Raw genomic sequence first — 18602 nt, forward strand, 5'->3', positions numbered from 1 at the left:
TCCACATAGCTGAGGAAGCCTAAGAATCACGTTGGAAGGCAAGAAGAAGCAAGTCATGTCTCACATGGATGGCAGCAATCAAAGATAGAGCTTCTGCAGAGAAACTACCCTTTTCAAAACCATCACACCTTGTGAGACGTATTCACTATCATGAGAACAGCATGGGAAAGACCTGCCCCCATGACTCAATTACTTCCCACCAGGTCCCTCCCACAACATGTGGGAATTCAAGATGAGACTTGGGTGGGGACACAACCAAACTGTATCATTCTGCCCCTGGCCCTTCCCAAATCTCATATCCTCACATTTCAAAACCAATCATGCCTTCCCAACAGTCCCCCAAAGTCTTAACTAAGTTCAGCATTAACTCAAAAGTCCACAGTCCAAAGTCTCATGTGAGACAAGGCAAATCCCTTCTGCCTATGAGCATGTAAAATCAAAAACAAGTTAGTTACTTCCTAGATACAATGGGGGTATAGGCATTGGGTAAACACAGTCATTCCAAATGGCAGAAAATTGTCAAAACAAAGGGGCTACAGGACCCATGCAAGCCCAAAATCCAGTGGGGCAGTCAAATCTCAAAGCTCCAAAATGATCTCCTTTGATTCCATGTCTCACATGCAGGTCATGCTGATGTAAGAGGTGGGCTCCCATGGCCTTGGGAGAAAAAAGGCCACAGCTCCACTCCTGTGGGTTTAAACCCCCTCCTGGCTCCTTTCACGGGTTGGCATTGAGTGTCTGCAGCTTTTCCAGGCACACAGTGCAAGCTGTCAGTGAATCCACCATTCCGAGGTCTGGAGGATGGTGGCCCTCTTCTCACAGCTCCACTAGGTGGCGCTGCAGTAGGGACTCTATGTGGGGGCTCCGACCCCACATTTCCCTTCTGCACTGCCCTAGTAGAGGTTCTCCATGAGTGCCCTGCCCCTGCAGCAAACTCCTGCCTGGATATCTAGGCATTTCCATACACCTTCTGAAATCTAGGCAGCAGTTCCCAAACCTCAATTTTTGACTTCTGTGCACCCACAGGCTCAACACTATGTGGAAGCTGCTAAGGCTTGGGGCTTGCACCCTCTGAAGCCATAGCCCACGTTGTACCTTGGCTCCTTTTAGCTGCAGCTGGAGTGGCTAGGACTCAGGCACCCTAGGCTGCTCACAACATGGGTCCCTGGGTCCAGGCCACAAAACCATCTTTTCTTCCTAGGCCTCTGGACCTTTGATGGGAGGGGCTGCCATGAAGACCTGTGACATGCCCTGGAGACATTTTCCCCATTGTCTTGGGGATTCACATTTGACTCTAGTTACTTAAAGAAACTTCTGCAGCCAGATCGAATTTTTCTTGAGAAAATGGGATTTTCTTTTCTATTGCATTGTCAGGCTGCAGATTTTCCAAACTTTCATGCTCTGCTTCCCTTATAAAACTGAAGGCCTTTAACAGCACCCAAGTCATCTCTTGAATGCTTTGCTGCTTAGAAATTTCTTCTATCAGATACCCTAAATCTCAAGTTCAAATACCCTATCAGATACCCTAAATCTCTCAAGTTCAAAATTCCACAAATCTCTACAGCAGGGGCAAAAAGCCACCAGTCTCTTTGCTAAAACATAACAGGAGTCACCATTGTGCCAGTTCCTAACAAGTTCCTCATTTCCATCTGAGACAACCTAAGCCTAGACTTTATTGTCCATATAACCATCAGCATTTTGGGCAAGTCTCTAGGAAATCTCTTCCAAATTTTCCCACATTTTCCTGTCTCCTTCTGAGCCCTCCAAACTGTTCCAGCCTCTGCCTGTTTCCCAGTTCCAAAGTCACTTCCACATATTCAGGTATCTTTTAGCAACACCCCACTTCTGGTACTAATTTACTGTATTAGTCCATTTTCACACAGCTGATAAAGACACATTCAAGACTGGGAAATTTACAAAAGAAAGAGGTTTAATGGACTTACAGTTCTACATTGCTGGGGAGGCTTCAAAATCATTGCGGAAGTCAAGGAGAGGCAAGTCACATCTTACAGGGATGGCAGCAGGCAAAGAGAGAGCTTGAGCAGGGAAACTCCTCCTTTTAAAACCATCAGATCTCATGAGACTTATTCACTATTAAAAGAATAGCATGGGAAATACCTGCCTCCATGATTCAACTACTTCCCACTGGATCCCTCCCACAACACATGGGAATTCAAGATGAGATCTGAGTGGGGACACAGCCAAACCATATCAAAAGGATATACAAAATAACCAGAAAACAATGAACAAAATGACAGGAATAAGTCCTCACCTATCAATAATAACTTCGAATATGGGTTAAATTACCTACCTAAAAGATAGAGACAGGCTTAATGGATAAAAAATGACCCAACAACGTCTACAAGAAACTCACTTCACTTGTAAAGACACACACAGACTGAAAGTGAAGGGATGGAAAAAGATATACCACACAAACAGAAATCAAAAATAATCAGGAGTAGCTAAACTTACATCAGATAAAACAGACTTTAAGTCAAAAACTGTAAAAAGGACAAAGAAGGTCATTATATGGTAATAAAGGGATCAATTCAGCAACAAAGTATAACAATTCCAAATATGCATGCAACCAACACAAGCACATCCAGAGACATAGAGCAAATATTATTAAATCTACATGGAGAGATAGAGTCCAATACAATGATAGTTGAGAACTTCAATATCCTACTCTCAGCATTGGACAGTTCATCTAGACATAAAATCAACAAAGAAACATTGATTTAAGCTGCACTTTAGACCAAATGGACCTAACAGATATTTTCAGAATATTTCATCCAGCAGCAGCAGAATATACAATCATCTCATCAACACATGGAACATTCTCCAGGATAGACCATATGTTAGGACACAGAACAAGGCTCAATAAAATTTTAAAAATTAAAATCATATCAAGTATCTTCTCAGACCACAATGGAATAAAACTTGAAATCAATAAGAAGAAGAAATTTGGAAACTGTACAAATACATGGACATTAAACATGCTATTGAATAATCATTGGGTCAATGAAGAAATTAAGATGGACATCAAAAATTTTTTTTAAACAGAAAATGGAAACACATCATGCAAAACCTATGGGATACAACAAAAGCAGTACTAGGAGAAAAGTTTATATCAATAAATGCCTACACCAAAAAAGTAGAAAGATTTCAAATAAACGACCTAATGATGCACCTCAAGGAACTCAAAATGCAAGAACAAATCAAACACACAATTAGTAGAAAGAAAAAATATAAATAACATAGCAGAACCAAATGCAACAGAGACAAAAAAGAAATGCAAAGAATCAACAAGATAAAAGTTGGTTTTTTGAAAAGTTAAACAAAATTGATAAACCACTAGTGAGGCTAACCAAAAAAAAAAAAAAAAAAAAAAAAGACCCAAATAAATACAATCAGAAATGAAAAAGGAGACATTACAACTGTTACCAAAGAAATAAAAAGGATCATTAGAGGCTATTATGAACAACCATAGGCTAACAAATTGGAAAACCTAGAGGAAAGGGATAAATTCCCAGACATACACAGCCTACCAAGATTGAACTAGGAAGAAACAGAAAACCTGAACTGACCCAAAATGAATAGCAGGTTTGACTCAGTAACATAAAGTCTCCCAAAAGAGAAAAGCCCTAGACTAGGCTTTTATGCTGATTTCTACCCAATTTATAAAGAAAAACAAACACCAATTCTTCTCAAACTATTCCCAAAAATTGAAGAGGAAGGAATTCTTCCTAACTCATTGTATAAGGCCAGCATTACCCTGATATCCAATCAAGACAAGGACGCAACAAAAGGAGAAAACTACAGGCCAATATTCCTAATGAACATAGATGGTAAAATTCTCAGCATAATACTACCAAGCCAAATCTAATGAGGAATGAAAAAGATAATATACCATGATCAAGTGGGATTTATCCCAGGAATGCAAAGATGGCTCAACATACACAAATCAATACATGTGATACATCACATCAACAAGATGAAAGGCAAAAACTATCTGATCATCTCAGCAGATGCAGAAAAATCACTCAGTAAAACTTACCATTCCTTCATGATGAAAACTCTCAACAAATTATGCATACAAGGAACACTTCAACCTAAGAAAAGGCATATGTGACAAATCTACAGCTAACATCCTACTCACTGGGAAAAATTGAAAAGCCTTTCCTCTAAGAACTGGAACAAGACAAGGATGTCCACTTTCACCACTCTTATTCAACACAGTATGGGACATCCAAGCCAGAGTGATCAGACAAGATAAAGAAATAAAAGGCATCCAAATGGACAAAAGGAGGTCAAATTGTCTCACTTTGCAAATGACATAATCTTATACCTGTAAACAGAAAAACCTAAAGACTCTACCAAAAAACTCTTAAAATAAATTAGGCTGGGCATGGTAGCTCATGCCTGTAATCCCAGCACTTTGGGAGGCCAAGGTGGACGGATCACCTGAGGTTGGGAGTTTGAGACCAGCGTGGCCAACATGGTGAAACCCTGTCTCTACCAAAAATACAATTAGCCAGGCATGGTGGTAGGTGCCTGTAATCCCAGCTACTTGGGAGGCTGAAGCAGGAGAATCGCTTGAACCCGAGAGGTGGAGGTTGCAGTGAGCCAAGATTGCACTACCGCACTCCAGCCTGGAAAACAGAGTGAGACTCTCTCAAAAAATAAAAAATAAAAAACATTTTTAAAAACGGATGTATAATTCAGTAAAGCTTCAGGACACAAAATCAACATACAAAAATCAGTAATGTTTCTATATACCAGTAACAAACTAGCTAAAATAGAAATCAAGGAAGAAATTCTATTTACAATAGCTACAAAAATAAAATACCTAGGAATAAACTTAACCAAGGATGAGGAAAAAAAAAAAAACAAAAAACCTCTACAATGAAAACCACAAAACGCTGATAAAATAAATTGAGAAGGACACAAACAAATGGAAAGGCATCTTATGCTTGTGGGTTGGAATAACTAATACTGTTAAAATGACCATACTACCTGAAGCAATCTAGAGATTCAGTATAATCCCTATTAATTATATTCTTCACAGAAACAGGAAAAAAATACCCTGAAATTCATATGGAACCACAGAAGACCCCAAATAGCCAGAGCAATACTGAGCAAAAAGAACAAAGCTAGAAGCCTCACACTACCTGATTTAAAAATATACTGCAAAGAGGCCGGGCGAGGTGGCTCAAGCCTATATCCCAGCACTTTGGGAGGCCAAGGCGGGTGGATCACAAGGTCAGGAGATCGAGACCATCCTGGCTAACACGGTGAAACCCCGTCTCTACTAAAAAAAAAAAAACAAAAAATTAGCCAGGCGTGGTGGTGGGCATCTGTAGTCCCAGCAGCTACTCAGGAGGCTGAGGCAGGAGAATGGCATGAACCCGGGAGGAAGAGCTTGCAGTGAGCAGAGATCACGCCACTGCACTCCAGCCTCGGCGACAGAGCAAGACTCCATCTCAAAAAGAAAAAAAAAAAAACCACATATATATATGTATATATATATATATGTGTATATATACGTATATATGTATATGTGTGTGTGTATATATATATGTATATATGTGTATATATATACACACACACACACACACACACACACACACATATATATATATATATATATATATATATACTGCAAAGCTATAGTAACCAAAACAGCGTGTATTGGTATTAAAACAGACACAAAAACAAAGGAAACAGACTAAAGAATCCAGAAATGAATCCACATATTTACAGCTAACTGATTTTCAAGAAAGCTGTCAAGAACATACATTGAATAAAGGACACCCCACCCTCTTCATTAAATGGTGCCAGGAAAACTAGATATCCAAACAGAGAAGAATAAAACTAGACCCTTATCTCTCATCACTTACAAAAATAAACTCAAAATCAATTAAAGACTTAAATGTAACAGCCACAACTATAAAACTACTAGAAATAAACACAGGAGAAACTCTTGAGAACAAAGATTGTATCGCTAACACTTAAAAGTACAAGCAACAAAAACAGACAAATGGGATTATATTAAACTAAATACCTTCTGCGTATCAAAGAAAACAATCAACAGAGTGAAAAGACAACACCCCTCCCTTACACCATACACAAAAATTAACTCAAGATGGCCTACAGACTTAAATGTAAAACCCATAACTATAAAAACGCTGAAGACAACCTAGGCAATACCATCCGGTACGTAGTGATGGGCAAAGAGTTCATGGTGAAGATGCCAAACGCAATTGCCACAAAAGCAAAAATTGACAAATGGGATCTAATTAAATGAAAGAGCTTCTGCACAACAAAAGAAACTATCAAAAAATAAACAGACATTTCTCAAAAGAAAATATACAAATCACCAAGTTTATGAAAAAATATTCAACATCACTAATCATCACGGAAATGCAAATCAAAACCACAATGAGATATCATCACACACTTGTTAGAATGGGTATTAAAAAGACAAAGCACAACAAATGCTGGCAAGCATGTGAAGAAAAGAAAATTATTGTATATTGTTGGTGGGAATGTAAATTAGTACAGCCATTATGAAAAAAAGTACAGAGATTTCTCAAAAAACTAAGAACAGATCTACCATATGATGCAGCAATCCCACTCCTGGGTATATATCCAAAAAAAGATATCAGTGTATCAACGGGATATCTGTACCCCCATATTTACTGCAGCACTATTTACAATAGCCAAGATATGGAATCAATCTAAGTGTCAATCAATGGATGAATGGATAAAGAAAATGGGAATATACACACAATAGAATAGTATTCAGCCATAAAAAAGAATGAAATCCTGTCATTTTCAGCTGTCATTGCAGTCCAGGCTGGAGTGCAGTGTCACAATCATAGTTCACTGCAGCCTCAAATTACTCCTGGCCTCAATCCATCCTCCCATCTCAGCCTTCAGAGTAGCTGAGACTACAGGCGCATGCCACCAAGCGCGGATACTTTTTTTTTTCTTCTTTTTGGAGAGAGTCTCACTCTGTTGCCCAGGCTGGAGTGCAATGGTGCAATCTTGGCTCACTGCAACCTCTGTCTCCCGCGTTCAAGTGATTCTCATGCCTCAGCCTCCTGAGTAGCTAGGATTACAGGCATGCACCACCACACCAGGCTAATTTTGCTCTTTCATTGTTGTTTCTTGTTTGTTTTTCACAAATAGGACTTCTTATTTGCTACTGTTTTAAGTCTGAACTTTAAACAGATTCTTGGACTGGTGGTTCATATCCATCAGCTCATTCAACTTTAGCATGTGTCTCGTCCCTAGTGGGTTTTCCAGAACTACTACCTTCACCACGAAGCTCCATGCCTTTCAAATCCAGGGTTCTCCAGCATTTTTACTTTTCTAATGAAGACATCATGGAGAGGATAAATTGGCAAGCCTTTTCTATATCTTTTCCAATGTTGTCTGGAATCAATTTATTGACCACTTCTTTCAAGTCATTTGTCTGCATCTCTCAGGTCATGATTCCCATCATCTTCTTCTGGATTTGGCAGACTGATGGTGCTGAGCATAAGAGGTCTTCAGTATCTGATTGTTGTGTTTTTTAGTAAAACCAACACAAAACAGATGAAAGAAGTAACCATCGGTAGTCTTGACATCAACATGAGCTTCAATCATTGTTGAACATTTTTCAACCATGGAACATATTTTGTCACAGGTAAGATCCATGCCATAGAAGTTAGTCAGGCAGTTTTTGTCCTGAACATCTTCAGTAATCAGCTTGAATTTTCTAAATGCAACTTCATCATTCTGCAAGTCAGCAAGACTCACTTCAAACACAAGACCCTTGAGACCATCAGATGCAATTTGGGTTCCTTGGGTCCTGGCGACCAAGTCTTTCCAATATTTCTTATATTGAACATAGGAGGTGCTTTCACATCATACTGATCTTTCTTAGAGAATGGACCAACTACTTTCTTCTTAACTCCCTTTTTGCCACCTTTCATAAGGCACTTGTTCTTAACAACTGCCATGGTGCTGCTCGGAGTACCAAAAGGCTAAATTTTATATTTTTGGTAGAGACGGGATTTCACGATGTTGGCCAAGCTGCTCTTAAACTCCTGATGTCAGGTGATCTGCCCGCCTCAGCCTCCCAAAGTGCTGCGATTACAGATGTGAGCCACTGCACCCAGCTGTTATTTATTTTTTCTTTTTTTGTACACACAGGGTCTTGCCATGTTGCCAAGGCTGGCCTGGAACTCCTGGCCTCAAGAAATCCTCCCACCACAGCCTCCCAAAGCACTGGGATTTCAGGTGTAAGCCACCATGCCCAGCCTGGAATCTATTTTTAAAGCCAATCAAGTGTTGAATAAAATTGCAACTTGGGCTGCTTTTCTTTGCATTTTTTACATTTCAATGGTTTTTAATATATTCAGAGATGTACACAAACATTACCAGTCAATTTTAGAACATTTCATGACCTCAAAAAGAAACCTCATACGCTTTAGCTAACACCCCCATCCTCCCATGCCCCTACCAGCCCTAAGCAACCACTAATCGACTTCCTATTTCTATAGACTTCCATCTGAATGAAATCATGTAGAATGTGATCTTTCATCTGTTTTGAAGGTTCATCCACGCTGTAGCGTATGTACTTTCCTCCTTTTTGTGATCAAATAATATTCCACCATGTGGGTAGACAACAATAGGTGTATCTCTTCATCTGGTGATGGGCATTTGGATTAACTCTCTCTTTGGGTTATTAGGAGTGATGCTACTGTAATTATTCATGTACAAAATTTTGTGTGGACCTGTGCTTTCATTTTTGAATATGAAAATATTGCGCATCTCCAAGGAAGACATACAAGTGGCCAATAAGCACATGAAAAGATGCTCAATGAAATTCATCATCAGGGAAACAGAAATCAAAACCACAATGAGATACCACTTCATACCCATAAGCATGGCTAGAATCGAAGATAGAGAAAATTGGCCTGGTGCAGTGGCTCAAGCCTGTAATCCCAGCACTTTGGGAGACCGAGGCAGGTGGATCACCTGAGGCCAGGAGTGTGAGACCAGCCTGGCCAACATGGTGAAACCCTGTCTGTACTAAAAAAATACAAAAATTAGCCAGGCATGGTGGCAGGTGCCTATAATCCCAGCTACTCGGGAGGCTGAGGCAGGAGAGTAACTTGAATCTGGAGGCAGAGGTTGCAGTGAGCTGAGATTGTGCCACTGCACTCCAGCCTGGGTGATGGAGCAAGACTTTGTCTCAAAAAAAAAAAAAAAAAAAAAAAACAGAAAATAACAAGTTTTGGTGAGGATGCAGAGAAATTAGAACCTTCATACACTGCTGGTAGGAATTAAAATGGTGTAGCCACTGTGAGAAACAGTTTAACAACTTCCCAAACAATTCTACATAGAGTTGCCAAATGACCCAGCAATTGTACTCCTAGATATAGGCCCAACTTGGGCTCTTTCAATCTATGGAAAATGAACTGTGGGTACTTGGCAAGAACAAAGAGGGAGAGAGGCAGAAATGCTGCCATGAGGGCACATTGATTGGTCTCTAGTACACATGGCTCCTACTGCAAATGGTCTCTAAATGACTTCATCAGTTGCTCAGAAAAAAAATCACCCTCTGCTCCAATCGTGGAGGAAGAAGTATGGATTGGACCTGGTGAGCCACGGTAAGACTGACTGCTAAACTTTATGAATGATGAGGGGATTTGCACGTATAATCTTGACTGTACTAGATTTTTTATTTTATCCACTGTCTTTGAAAACCTAACTCTTAAGAACTGACTTTCCTGTACTTGTTGTTGACTCTAAGTAAATTTCCAATTCCACATAGTCCAAAGATGATATGCTGAGAAATCTCTCAAAGGAAAAATGCTAAGAATACAGGCACAGTTATATGGCAAATTTTGCAGAATTAACACAAATTGCACTTGTGGGTATGAAGCACAAAACATTTTCATGGGTAAAGAAAAAAGTGTTCTTCATTCTAGTAGACGCTGCAGGATGAGGCCGATCAAGGTGCTGGCCCAGCCAGACCTTGGGCTCTTACCTAATTTGTGTTAGAGTCAACTCTGAGGGAGTCTGTATCTCAGTCATCTTTTTTTTTGACATGGAATCTCGCTCTGTCTCCCAGGCTGGAATGCAGCGATGTGATCTCAGCTCACTGCAACATCTGCCTCCTGGGTTCAAGCGATTCTCCTGCCTCAGCTTCCCAAGTAGATGGGACTACATGTGCATGCCACCATGCCTGGCTAATTTTTGTATTTTTAGTAGAGACGTTTCATCATGTTGGCCAGGCTGTGCTCAAACTCCTGCCCTCAAGTGATCCGCCTGCCTTGGCCTCCCAAAGTGCTGGCATTACAGGCATGAGCCACCATGCCCGATCTCAGTCATCTTTTTATCCTCCACACCTGGCAAGTTCTAGACACACTGTGGTTCCATACAAGTTTGTTGAATAAACAGGAGACAGAGAGTGAGAACTCTGGAAGTATAGAAGATTCCAGAAATTGTGCATATTTCCCACAGACTGTGGCCCAATTCCTCAGTCCTGCCAGAGTTTCTCTATCTCAACTCAAACCTTATGTGTGGGCCCAGGCGCAGTGGCTCACACCTGTAATCCCAACACTTTAGGAGGCTGAGGTGGGCAGATCACTTGAGGCCAGGAGTTTGAGACCAGCCTGGCCAACATGGTGAAACCCCGTCTCTACTAAAAATACAAAAATTAGCCAGACATGATGTTGTGCACCTGTAGTCCCAGCTACTCAGGTGGCTGAGGCACAAGCATTGCTTGAACCCAGGAGGTGGAGGTTGCAGTGAGTCACTATTATGCCACTGTACTCTAGCCTGGGCAATAAAGCAAGACTGTCTCAAAAGAAAAAAAAAACCCTTAAGTGTGGGCCTTGTTACAGAATTAATGTGTATATGGACAATATGTACATGGGTGTATGTTAAGAGCATGAGTCATCCACAAGATTTCAGCAAAGTCCATTTGGAAAGCTCAATGCTTTGGGCTTCCACTTGCTTTGCTGCCTCTGTCCTCAGAAGGAGGCTTCATCCTTCCATGTAACCAGCAAATCCTTTATGCAGAGATGTAAACAACACACTCCTCTCCTTGGCTATGACACCTTGAAAGGGTCCTCTTGGTGGCCCCTGGTGCTCATTTCAGAGTAGTTCAAATTAAGGTGATCAGCTTTCATGCCAATCACTCTACAAATCACTCCTATTACGACCAATTTTTCTAAATGCTTTATTGAATTATTACTTAAAGAAATGTGCACATAGAAGAGGTCAACACAGTACTTTTCTTACAAACTGAACATACTGGCCAGACGCAGTGGCTCATGCCTGTCATCCCAGCATTTTGGGAGGCCGAGATGAGCAGATTGCTTGAGCCCAGGAGCTTGAGACCAGCCTGGGCAACATAGTGAGACACTCCTCTCTACAAAAAATAAATAAATAAAAAATTAGGCAACAGTGGTGGCACATGCCTGTAGTCCCAGCTACTCGGGAGGGCTGAGGTGGGAGGACTGCTGGAGCCCAGGAGGCAGAGGCTGCAGTGAGCCATGATGGTGCCACTGTGCTCCAGCCTGGGTGACAGAGAAAGATCCTGCCTCAAAACAACAACAACAACAACAACAAAAAACTGAACATCTCCATATTGCTGACACCCAATTCAAGAAACAAAATATTACAGACCCTTCCAGGATATTCCTGGGGTCTCTTCCATCTCTACTAACCCCTGACTACAAACAGCCTCCACCTATTTCACCTGACATTGTACTTTATGAAAGCAGCAGTTCTCAGATGGGGCTATTTTGCCCCCTGGGGACATTAGGCAATATCTGGAGACACTGGGGGTTGTGTCTACTTGGGGGGAGTTGTGTTACTGCATCCAGTGAGTGCAGGGATCCAGGGATGACGCTCAACATCCTAAAATGCACAGGGAACCCCCACACATAGAACAGAGAAATTGCTGAGCCAAAATGTCAGCAGTGTCACAGCTGACACCCTGACATACACACTATCACACAGTATCTGCTCTTTCGTGCTCAGGATCTTTTTCATTCTAATCATCTCATAGGAAACAGAAATGTCATTTAGAGGTAGGTAGAGTCCAAAACAAAGAAGATCCAGAGTTTTTTTTTTTTTTTTTAATCAGCCTGGTGCCTTTAGAGCTAGGATTTAGTTTCCATTCTTTCTGTCTCATTTTCAAGTGATTTTTTTCTTCAAATGGCATCTACTGGGCTCAAGAACCGGAGATCCCCACAAAGCTGAGATTCACATGGGAATTTTGTACACACCTACACAGGTATACACTGCCATTTACATGCAGACATCCACCCACAGATACACACATCCGGAGACCAAGACAGAACACAAACTCCACCATAAAAGCACGGTTCCCCGAACAGGAGAAACGCACCATTCACTCCAGGGAGGTACCTATTTGTTTAATTCAGCCTCTGATAGTCAGGCTGTTGCCAAGCCCAGCTCTGAAAGTCTTCCCCTCTAGGAAAGAGAGATGGACTTTTTCTTTACTCAAGAATATAGATCTAAAAAAAACAAACACTTCTGCATCTCAAAGCAGGCTCTACCTCGTGAGCTACACATATTGATCAGCATTTTATTGTCAATTTTCTTTTACTTGAATTGGAGAAAAATATAACTTAATTATGTTCTTACTGACAGTTTGGAATCAGTTACACTAAATCCAATTCTCTGGGTTCTCATGATTAATGTGTTTAATTTGGGGGACAACAAAGCAAAAGCATTGGTCGTGTTTTAATATAATTAGTACAGGATATATCTAAGGGGTTGCAGTATCACTGTAGCAAGAAGCTCATTCTGCAGTAAAAGGGGGGTTCTGCCACTAGGATTGAGTTAGGGTGGTTCATGGCTGCACCGTTTAATCAATGTCTCTTCAAGAGTCCATGGAATGTGGAATGGGAAAGACTGAAGTAGTGCAAGTCTTGGCTAAGCTTCTATTAAGGGGTGTTAGGAGCTGATAAAATAACCTGGTCTTTATAGACATCCCACACTGTAGTTCTCTAAGCTACAGATTCTCAGATTTTTCTATTTTATAAACGAGTAAAAATATTTTTTTAATTTGAGAACAAACATAAGGTTGCTATCTTTTTTTCTTTTGGGTAAGAAGGAACTTTTTTAAACTACCAGTTTCACACACACACACACACACACACACACACACACAGAGAGAGAGAAATTCCACCATGATTGGTCAGAATAGGTGAGGTTTTGCTGCAATAACAAACAACTCCTAAATCTTGGTAACTTCAAACATCAGAAGTTGTTTTTCTCACTCATGCTACATCTGCAGGGAGGTGTGGGGTGCTCTGTTTCCCATCAAACTTGCCCTAAGACTAAGGTTAATGGGGGTTGCAATACCTCGAGTATCACCAAGCAGGGAACAGAGGGAGAAGAATGCTAGAGAGTCTTGTACTAAGAATTAAATGCTCCAGGCTAGAAGTCTAACATTGCACCTCTGCCCCCAGCCTCTTGGCCAGTACTAGCCACATCCCCTCCCCCACCACAGGGCAATGCATGAAGACAGGAGAATTGGATACATTACAAATTTCTACCCCATGGCATTTCATAAAAGAGAAAAAATGCAAATACAAAAATGTTTTAATAGAATAGAATATATACATTTTTAGAATAAAGAACAATCCTCCAAAAACGACAGCTGGTGGTCTTTCAACAATAGGCACATTTCTGTGACATTTTCTCTGTTTTTCCATTTTATCCTTGACCTATGAACATTTTATACAGATGGTCCAAAGAACACCATTTGGGGACCACTGCTCTAATCAGATGATGAAAACGGCCCCAAGAACAGAGCACAGTCTCTTTAGCAAAGACCCAGCAGGGCCAGGATGACCATGTTCTCACCATCAATGTGCAGACATCCACCTGCAGCATCCTCACATCCCAACATCAAACAGTGGCTCTTTATAGCTTGATTCTAATGCCCTTTGATCTTCATAATCATTGTAAAGATCTCTGGCCCCAAGATCTAACATCGCCACTCTAGCTACATCATGCAACTGTTCACCTCTCCTGCCTCCTCATCCCTCTAAACTTCTCTTCACAACCTCATGTTTCCTTCTTGCTTTACCTTCCTGCTCAGCCTGGACCTTACAGTCACCTTCTTCTTGTAATGTGCTCCTAAACTTGTTCTTCCCTTTCTTCAACCACACCCACCTGGAAAATCTCCATACCCCATTGATGACTTGCCTCGCAACTGCCCAAGGGCTGCTGAATGATACTGGAAGGAATCACAACATGGATCTGGTAGTTCCACTAAATAATCTCACCATCCAACTCTAGGGTAGACTTCACTTCTGTTCAGCAATATTTTTAAGTATCACAAATAAATTCCAAACCATATTTGCTATAACAATTGACTTTAAACCTCTTCCATATCTCAAAGCCCCCAACACCCATCCCTAGGGGTTTCAGAGCCCAGAGTTGAGTTCTCTCAACTCACTTCCATCTCACCCCTAGATCACTGTATCTTGACCCTCTTCCTCTGCCTTTCCCATGTTATAAGGAGAAGCATCCTTCTCCTTTTCCAAGCTACCTTCTCCACTTGTGCCTCATTTGAGACCTGCCTTTATCATCCGTTCCCTTGGAACTCCCATGACTCACCACCTTCACTTGTCATTTCACTCATAAATATTTTGCACCGTATATGTGCCAGGTGTTTAACATATAATCATGCTTAAGTCTCCACATGCTAACAAGAAAAACCTTGATTATCCCTGCTATGCCCTCAAGTCATTACCCTCCCCGCTCCTTTCCTGTGTTCCTAAACTTTGTTGATCTTCATCAATCCCTCTGATGCAGATGGCTATGAAGTTTGCATCCTCTTAGGTTGGTGCAAAAGTAACTGCCGATTTTGCCATTAAAAGTAATGGCAAAAACAGCAATTATTTTTGTACTAGCCTAGTATCTTTTCTCCTTCTACCAAACTTTGTCCCTGAGACATCTCATCACCTATAACTACCTCCTCCATGCAGTTGATTCCCAGATCTGTATTATTCTACTGAAAGTCCATTCCCCAATTTTCTCGGCTAGAATAACAGAAGCCCAGTTAGAATTCATGCTACCAGTTTCCCACCACCACCACCACCACCACCACCGTCGCCCTGCCATTGTTAGCAAAACCATCTCTTGAGTGGAGCTCAAAGATTTGTAATCTCCCACTCCCCAGAAAGATAACTTCAGACTCAGCCTAGAAGTAAAGATCCTCCAGATATGGCCTCAACTACCCTCCAACCCATGTCCCCAGTGCATCCAGTTGATGCCCCCTTCAGTGGAGCTAAAATGGAGTGAGTGGTTATCTTTTCACATACTCCTGGTGTTCTTCCACAAATACAATTTTCACCTCTTGAATATTTTCAAGGATTCTCCATGCTACACACAGTGAAATCCAAACTCCCCATCAGGACCCCAGTCTTCCCAAACCCTCTTTGCAGTTTTCTGCCTCCATGCTTTTCCTTGGGTCATCCTCTTCTCTAATATAACCTTGTGTATTATTCTAGGTTCTCCAGAGAAAGAGCAGAGAGATAGAGGTAGAGCTATACACATAGAGAGAGACAGATTGATTTGTTGTAAGAGATGGCTCACGTGGTTATGGAGGCTAAGGAGTCCTGGAGTCTGCAGCCAGCAAGCTGGAGACCCAGGACAGCCAATGATATAGTTCCAACTCGAGTCCACATCTAAAGTCAGGAGAAGATTGATATCCCAGCTCAAATATAATCAGGTAAAAAGAGCAAATTCTCTGTGACTCTACCTTTTTGTTTTGTTCAGGCCTTCAGTGGATTGGATGAGGCTCACCCACATTGGGGAGGACAATCTGCTTTATTCAGTCTACCAATTAAGGGTTATCCTCATCCAGAATACCTCAGAGACACACCCAGAATAATGTGTAACCAAATATCTGGGCACCCCACAACCCAGTCAAATTGATACATAACACTAACCATCATGTCTTGCTTCTACTCTCTCACCATTACTGCGTGGCCAAATCCTTCCCTTATTTCAAGGCTTAGTTCAAATGTTACCTCTTAACTAAGCCTTCCCTGCTAACCCCAAATATTAATAGAATTGGTGTCTTCCTTCTCTGATGTCTCAAAATATGTTGTGTTTCTCTTTTACTGTATTTATTACAAACTCCCTTATAAATCAAGACAGTGATTCCCCGACAAATTATCAAAAGAGTATAAAAGAAGTCTTCTTTGAGTGTGAAATATCTCATGGAATATAGCACATGGCCTCTTCATGAAGAAACTACTGGGAGAGAAGACAAGCCGGAAGAGGCCAGGGAAAGGGGGTTAGTACAAAGCACAATGAGGCTGGGCTCATACAGTGGCTCACACCTGTAATCCCAGCACTTTGGGAGCCCAAGGCCGGTGGATCATGAGGTCAGGAGATCGAGACCATCCTGGCTAACACGGTGAAACCCCATCTCTACTAAAAATACAAAAAAGTTAGCCAGGCATGGAGGCGGGCGCCTGTAGTCCCAGCTACTCGGGAGGCTGAGGAAGGAGAATGGTGTGAACCCAGGAGGCAGAGCTTGCAGTGAGCCGAGATCGCACCACTGCACTCAAACCTGGGTGACAGAGCAAGACTCCATCTCAAAAAAAAAAAAAGCACAATGAAATGTCTGTGGATGGGTGCCTATAATTTCTAAGGGAAATAGAGTATAATCCAAGAATTTTATAGCCAGCTAAATTATTGCCCAATTAAAATAGGCAAAAGACACTATCACAAGCTGAAGAACTTAAAGAATACAGTATTTTTGAGCTCTTTAAAAAAAAGTCTTCATAATAAAATTTAGTCAGCCAAGAAATTAAAAAATAAGCAACTTGTGAATTGAATGACCATGACAAAAGGCTAGTGATAGGACTATGATTGCAGAACAGAAAGAGAAGGTGGTCAACCTTAACAACATAAAACAACCTAGAAATAACTAGTTTCCAGAGCTAAAGGGAGGGACTGTAGGAAGTAGAAGTGCTAATGCCCTTTATTAAGTCAATTAATCAGGTCTAAAATTGAAACGTGATTTTAAATATATAACTTCTTGTTTATTTTCCTCCCTAACTACCTGAGGATCAACCACCATCATGAATGACACAGTAACTACCTGGACCAGGAAGTTCATGACCAATCGACCGCTCCAGAGGAAACAAATGGTCACCAATGTCCTTCACCCCGGAAAGGCAACAAAATGTACAAGACCACAATGGATGTCATCTTCATATTAATAGTTGGACTCAGAACCCATTTTGGTGGTGGTTAAACAATCGTCACCCACATTGGAGTGCAGTGGTACGATCTCAGCTCACCAAATCTCTGCCTCCCAGGCTTAAGCAATTCTCCTGCCTCAGTCTCCCCCGTAGCTGGGATTACAGGCACGCACCACTACTGCCTGGCTAATTTTTATATTTTTAGTAGAGATGGGGTTTCATCTTGTTGGCCAGGCTGGTCTTGAACTCCTGACCTCAAATGATCCACCCGCCTTGGCCTCCCAAAGTGCTAAGATTACAGGCATGAGTCACAGCGCCCCGCCTTTTCTGTATTAAATTTTTTAAAACACAACATTTAAAATAATCAAGTCATTCTTTTTGAATCTACTTTGTATTATAGGTATCCAAATACTCACCTATTCTCTCTCACATGATGACAAACTCGTTGAAATGTCATTTCATTTTGTGGCTCCAGCCCCAGGGATTCTGACTCTCATTCTAAAGGGCCTGCATGCAGAGTGAGCAAGCCGCCTGGATGATTCTCTTACAGGTGTTTTAAGGGCAGCAGTTTGAGACACCCTGATGCAAAAGAACGAACCCTCAAGGAAGTTGGCTGTACATGTATTTTCCTTCCTAGCACAGGAAATGACAGAAAGATTATCCAATCAGTACCACTCATAGCACCTGATTATATGTGTATGAGGAATTCAGAAATGGTTTGATCAAGGTTGAAGACCTAAAAAGAAGCTTTTCTCTCGGACACCAAGTCCCCATCTCATGCGTGGTTGAGTTAGTAGAAACTGAGGATGATGCTTCTTCCTCCAGCATTGGTATCCTATGGTTTTTGTTGTTCAGTAAATGAAGTACCTCCATCCCCCAACATCCCCAAGCTCAATTCCAGTTTCCTCACATACACTTTTTTTTTTTTTTTTTTTTTTTTTTTGAGACAGAGTCTCGCTCTGTCACCCAGGCTGGAATGCTGTGCAGTGGTGCAACCTCAGCTCACTGCAACCTCCACCTCCCAGGTTCAAGTGATTCTCCTGCCTCGGCCTCCTGAGTAGCTGGAATTACAGGCATGCACCATCATGCCTGGCTAATTTTTGTATTTTTAGTAGAGATGAGGTTTCATCATGTCGTGCAGGCTTGTCTCAAACTCTCGGCCTCAAGTGATCCACCCATCTCAGCCTCCCAAGTGCTAAGATTACAGGTGTGAGCCACCGTGCCCAGCCCCCTCACTTACACTTTTACAGAAGATCTGATCATACCCACTCCGCAGAAGTCAGAATGGCCCCCACGTGGTGTTAAACGGGAGTGAAAACTTGAGTTCAATCAACT

At 41.4% G+C, this 18602-nt stretch overlaps 1 protein-coding gene, 1 long non-coding RNA gene and 1 pseudogene across 2 annotated transcripts in view; all 3 read right to left on the reverse strand.

Moving 5' to 3' along the window:
* The window catches only part of ASNS (asparagine synthetase (glutamine-hydrolyzing)), a 76765-nt gene that overhangs the window by 39435 nt on the left and 18728 nt on the right, over positions 1 to 18602 (reverse strand). The gene's annotated exons all lie outside the window — the stretch shown is intronic.
* The window catches only part of CZ1P-ASNS (CZ1P-ASNS readthrough), a 120242-nt gene that overhangs the window by 38995 nt on the left and 62645 nt on the right, over positions 1 to 18602 (reverse strand). Inside the window, exon 7 of the long non-coding RNA NR_147989.1 lies at positions 17684 to 17900. This is a non-coding gene — a long non-coding RNA (CZ1P-ASNS readthrough). The remainder of the gene's footprint in view (positions 1 to 17683; positions 17901 to 18602) is intronic.
* RPS3AP29 (RPS3A pseudogene 29) lies at positions 7185 to 8033 on the reverse strand (annotated as a pseudogene).

The sequence above is a fragment of the Homo sapiens genome, chromosome 7 (genome assembly GCF_000001405.40).
Source record: "Homo sapiens chromosome 7, GRCh38.p14 Primary Assembly".
NCBI lineage: Eukaryota > Metazoa > Chordata > Mammalia > Primates > Hominidae > Homo > Homo sapiens.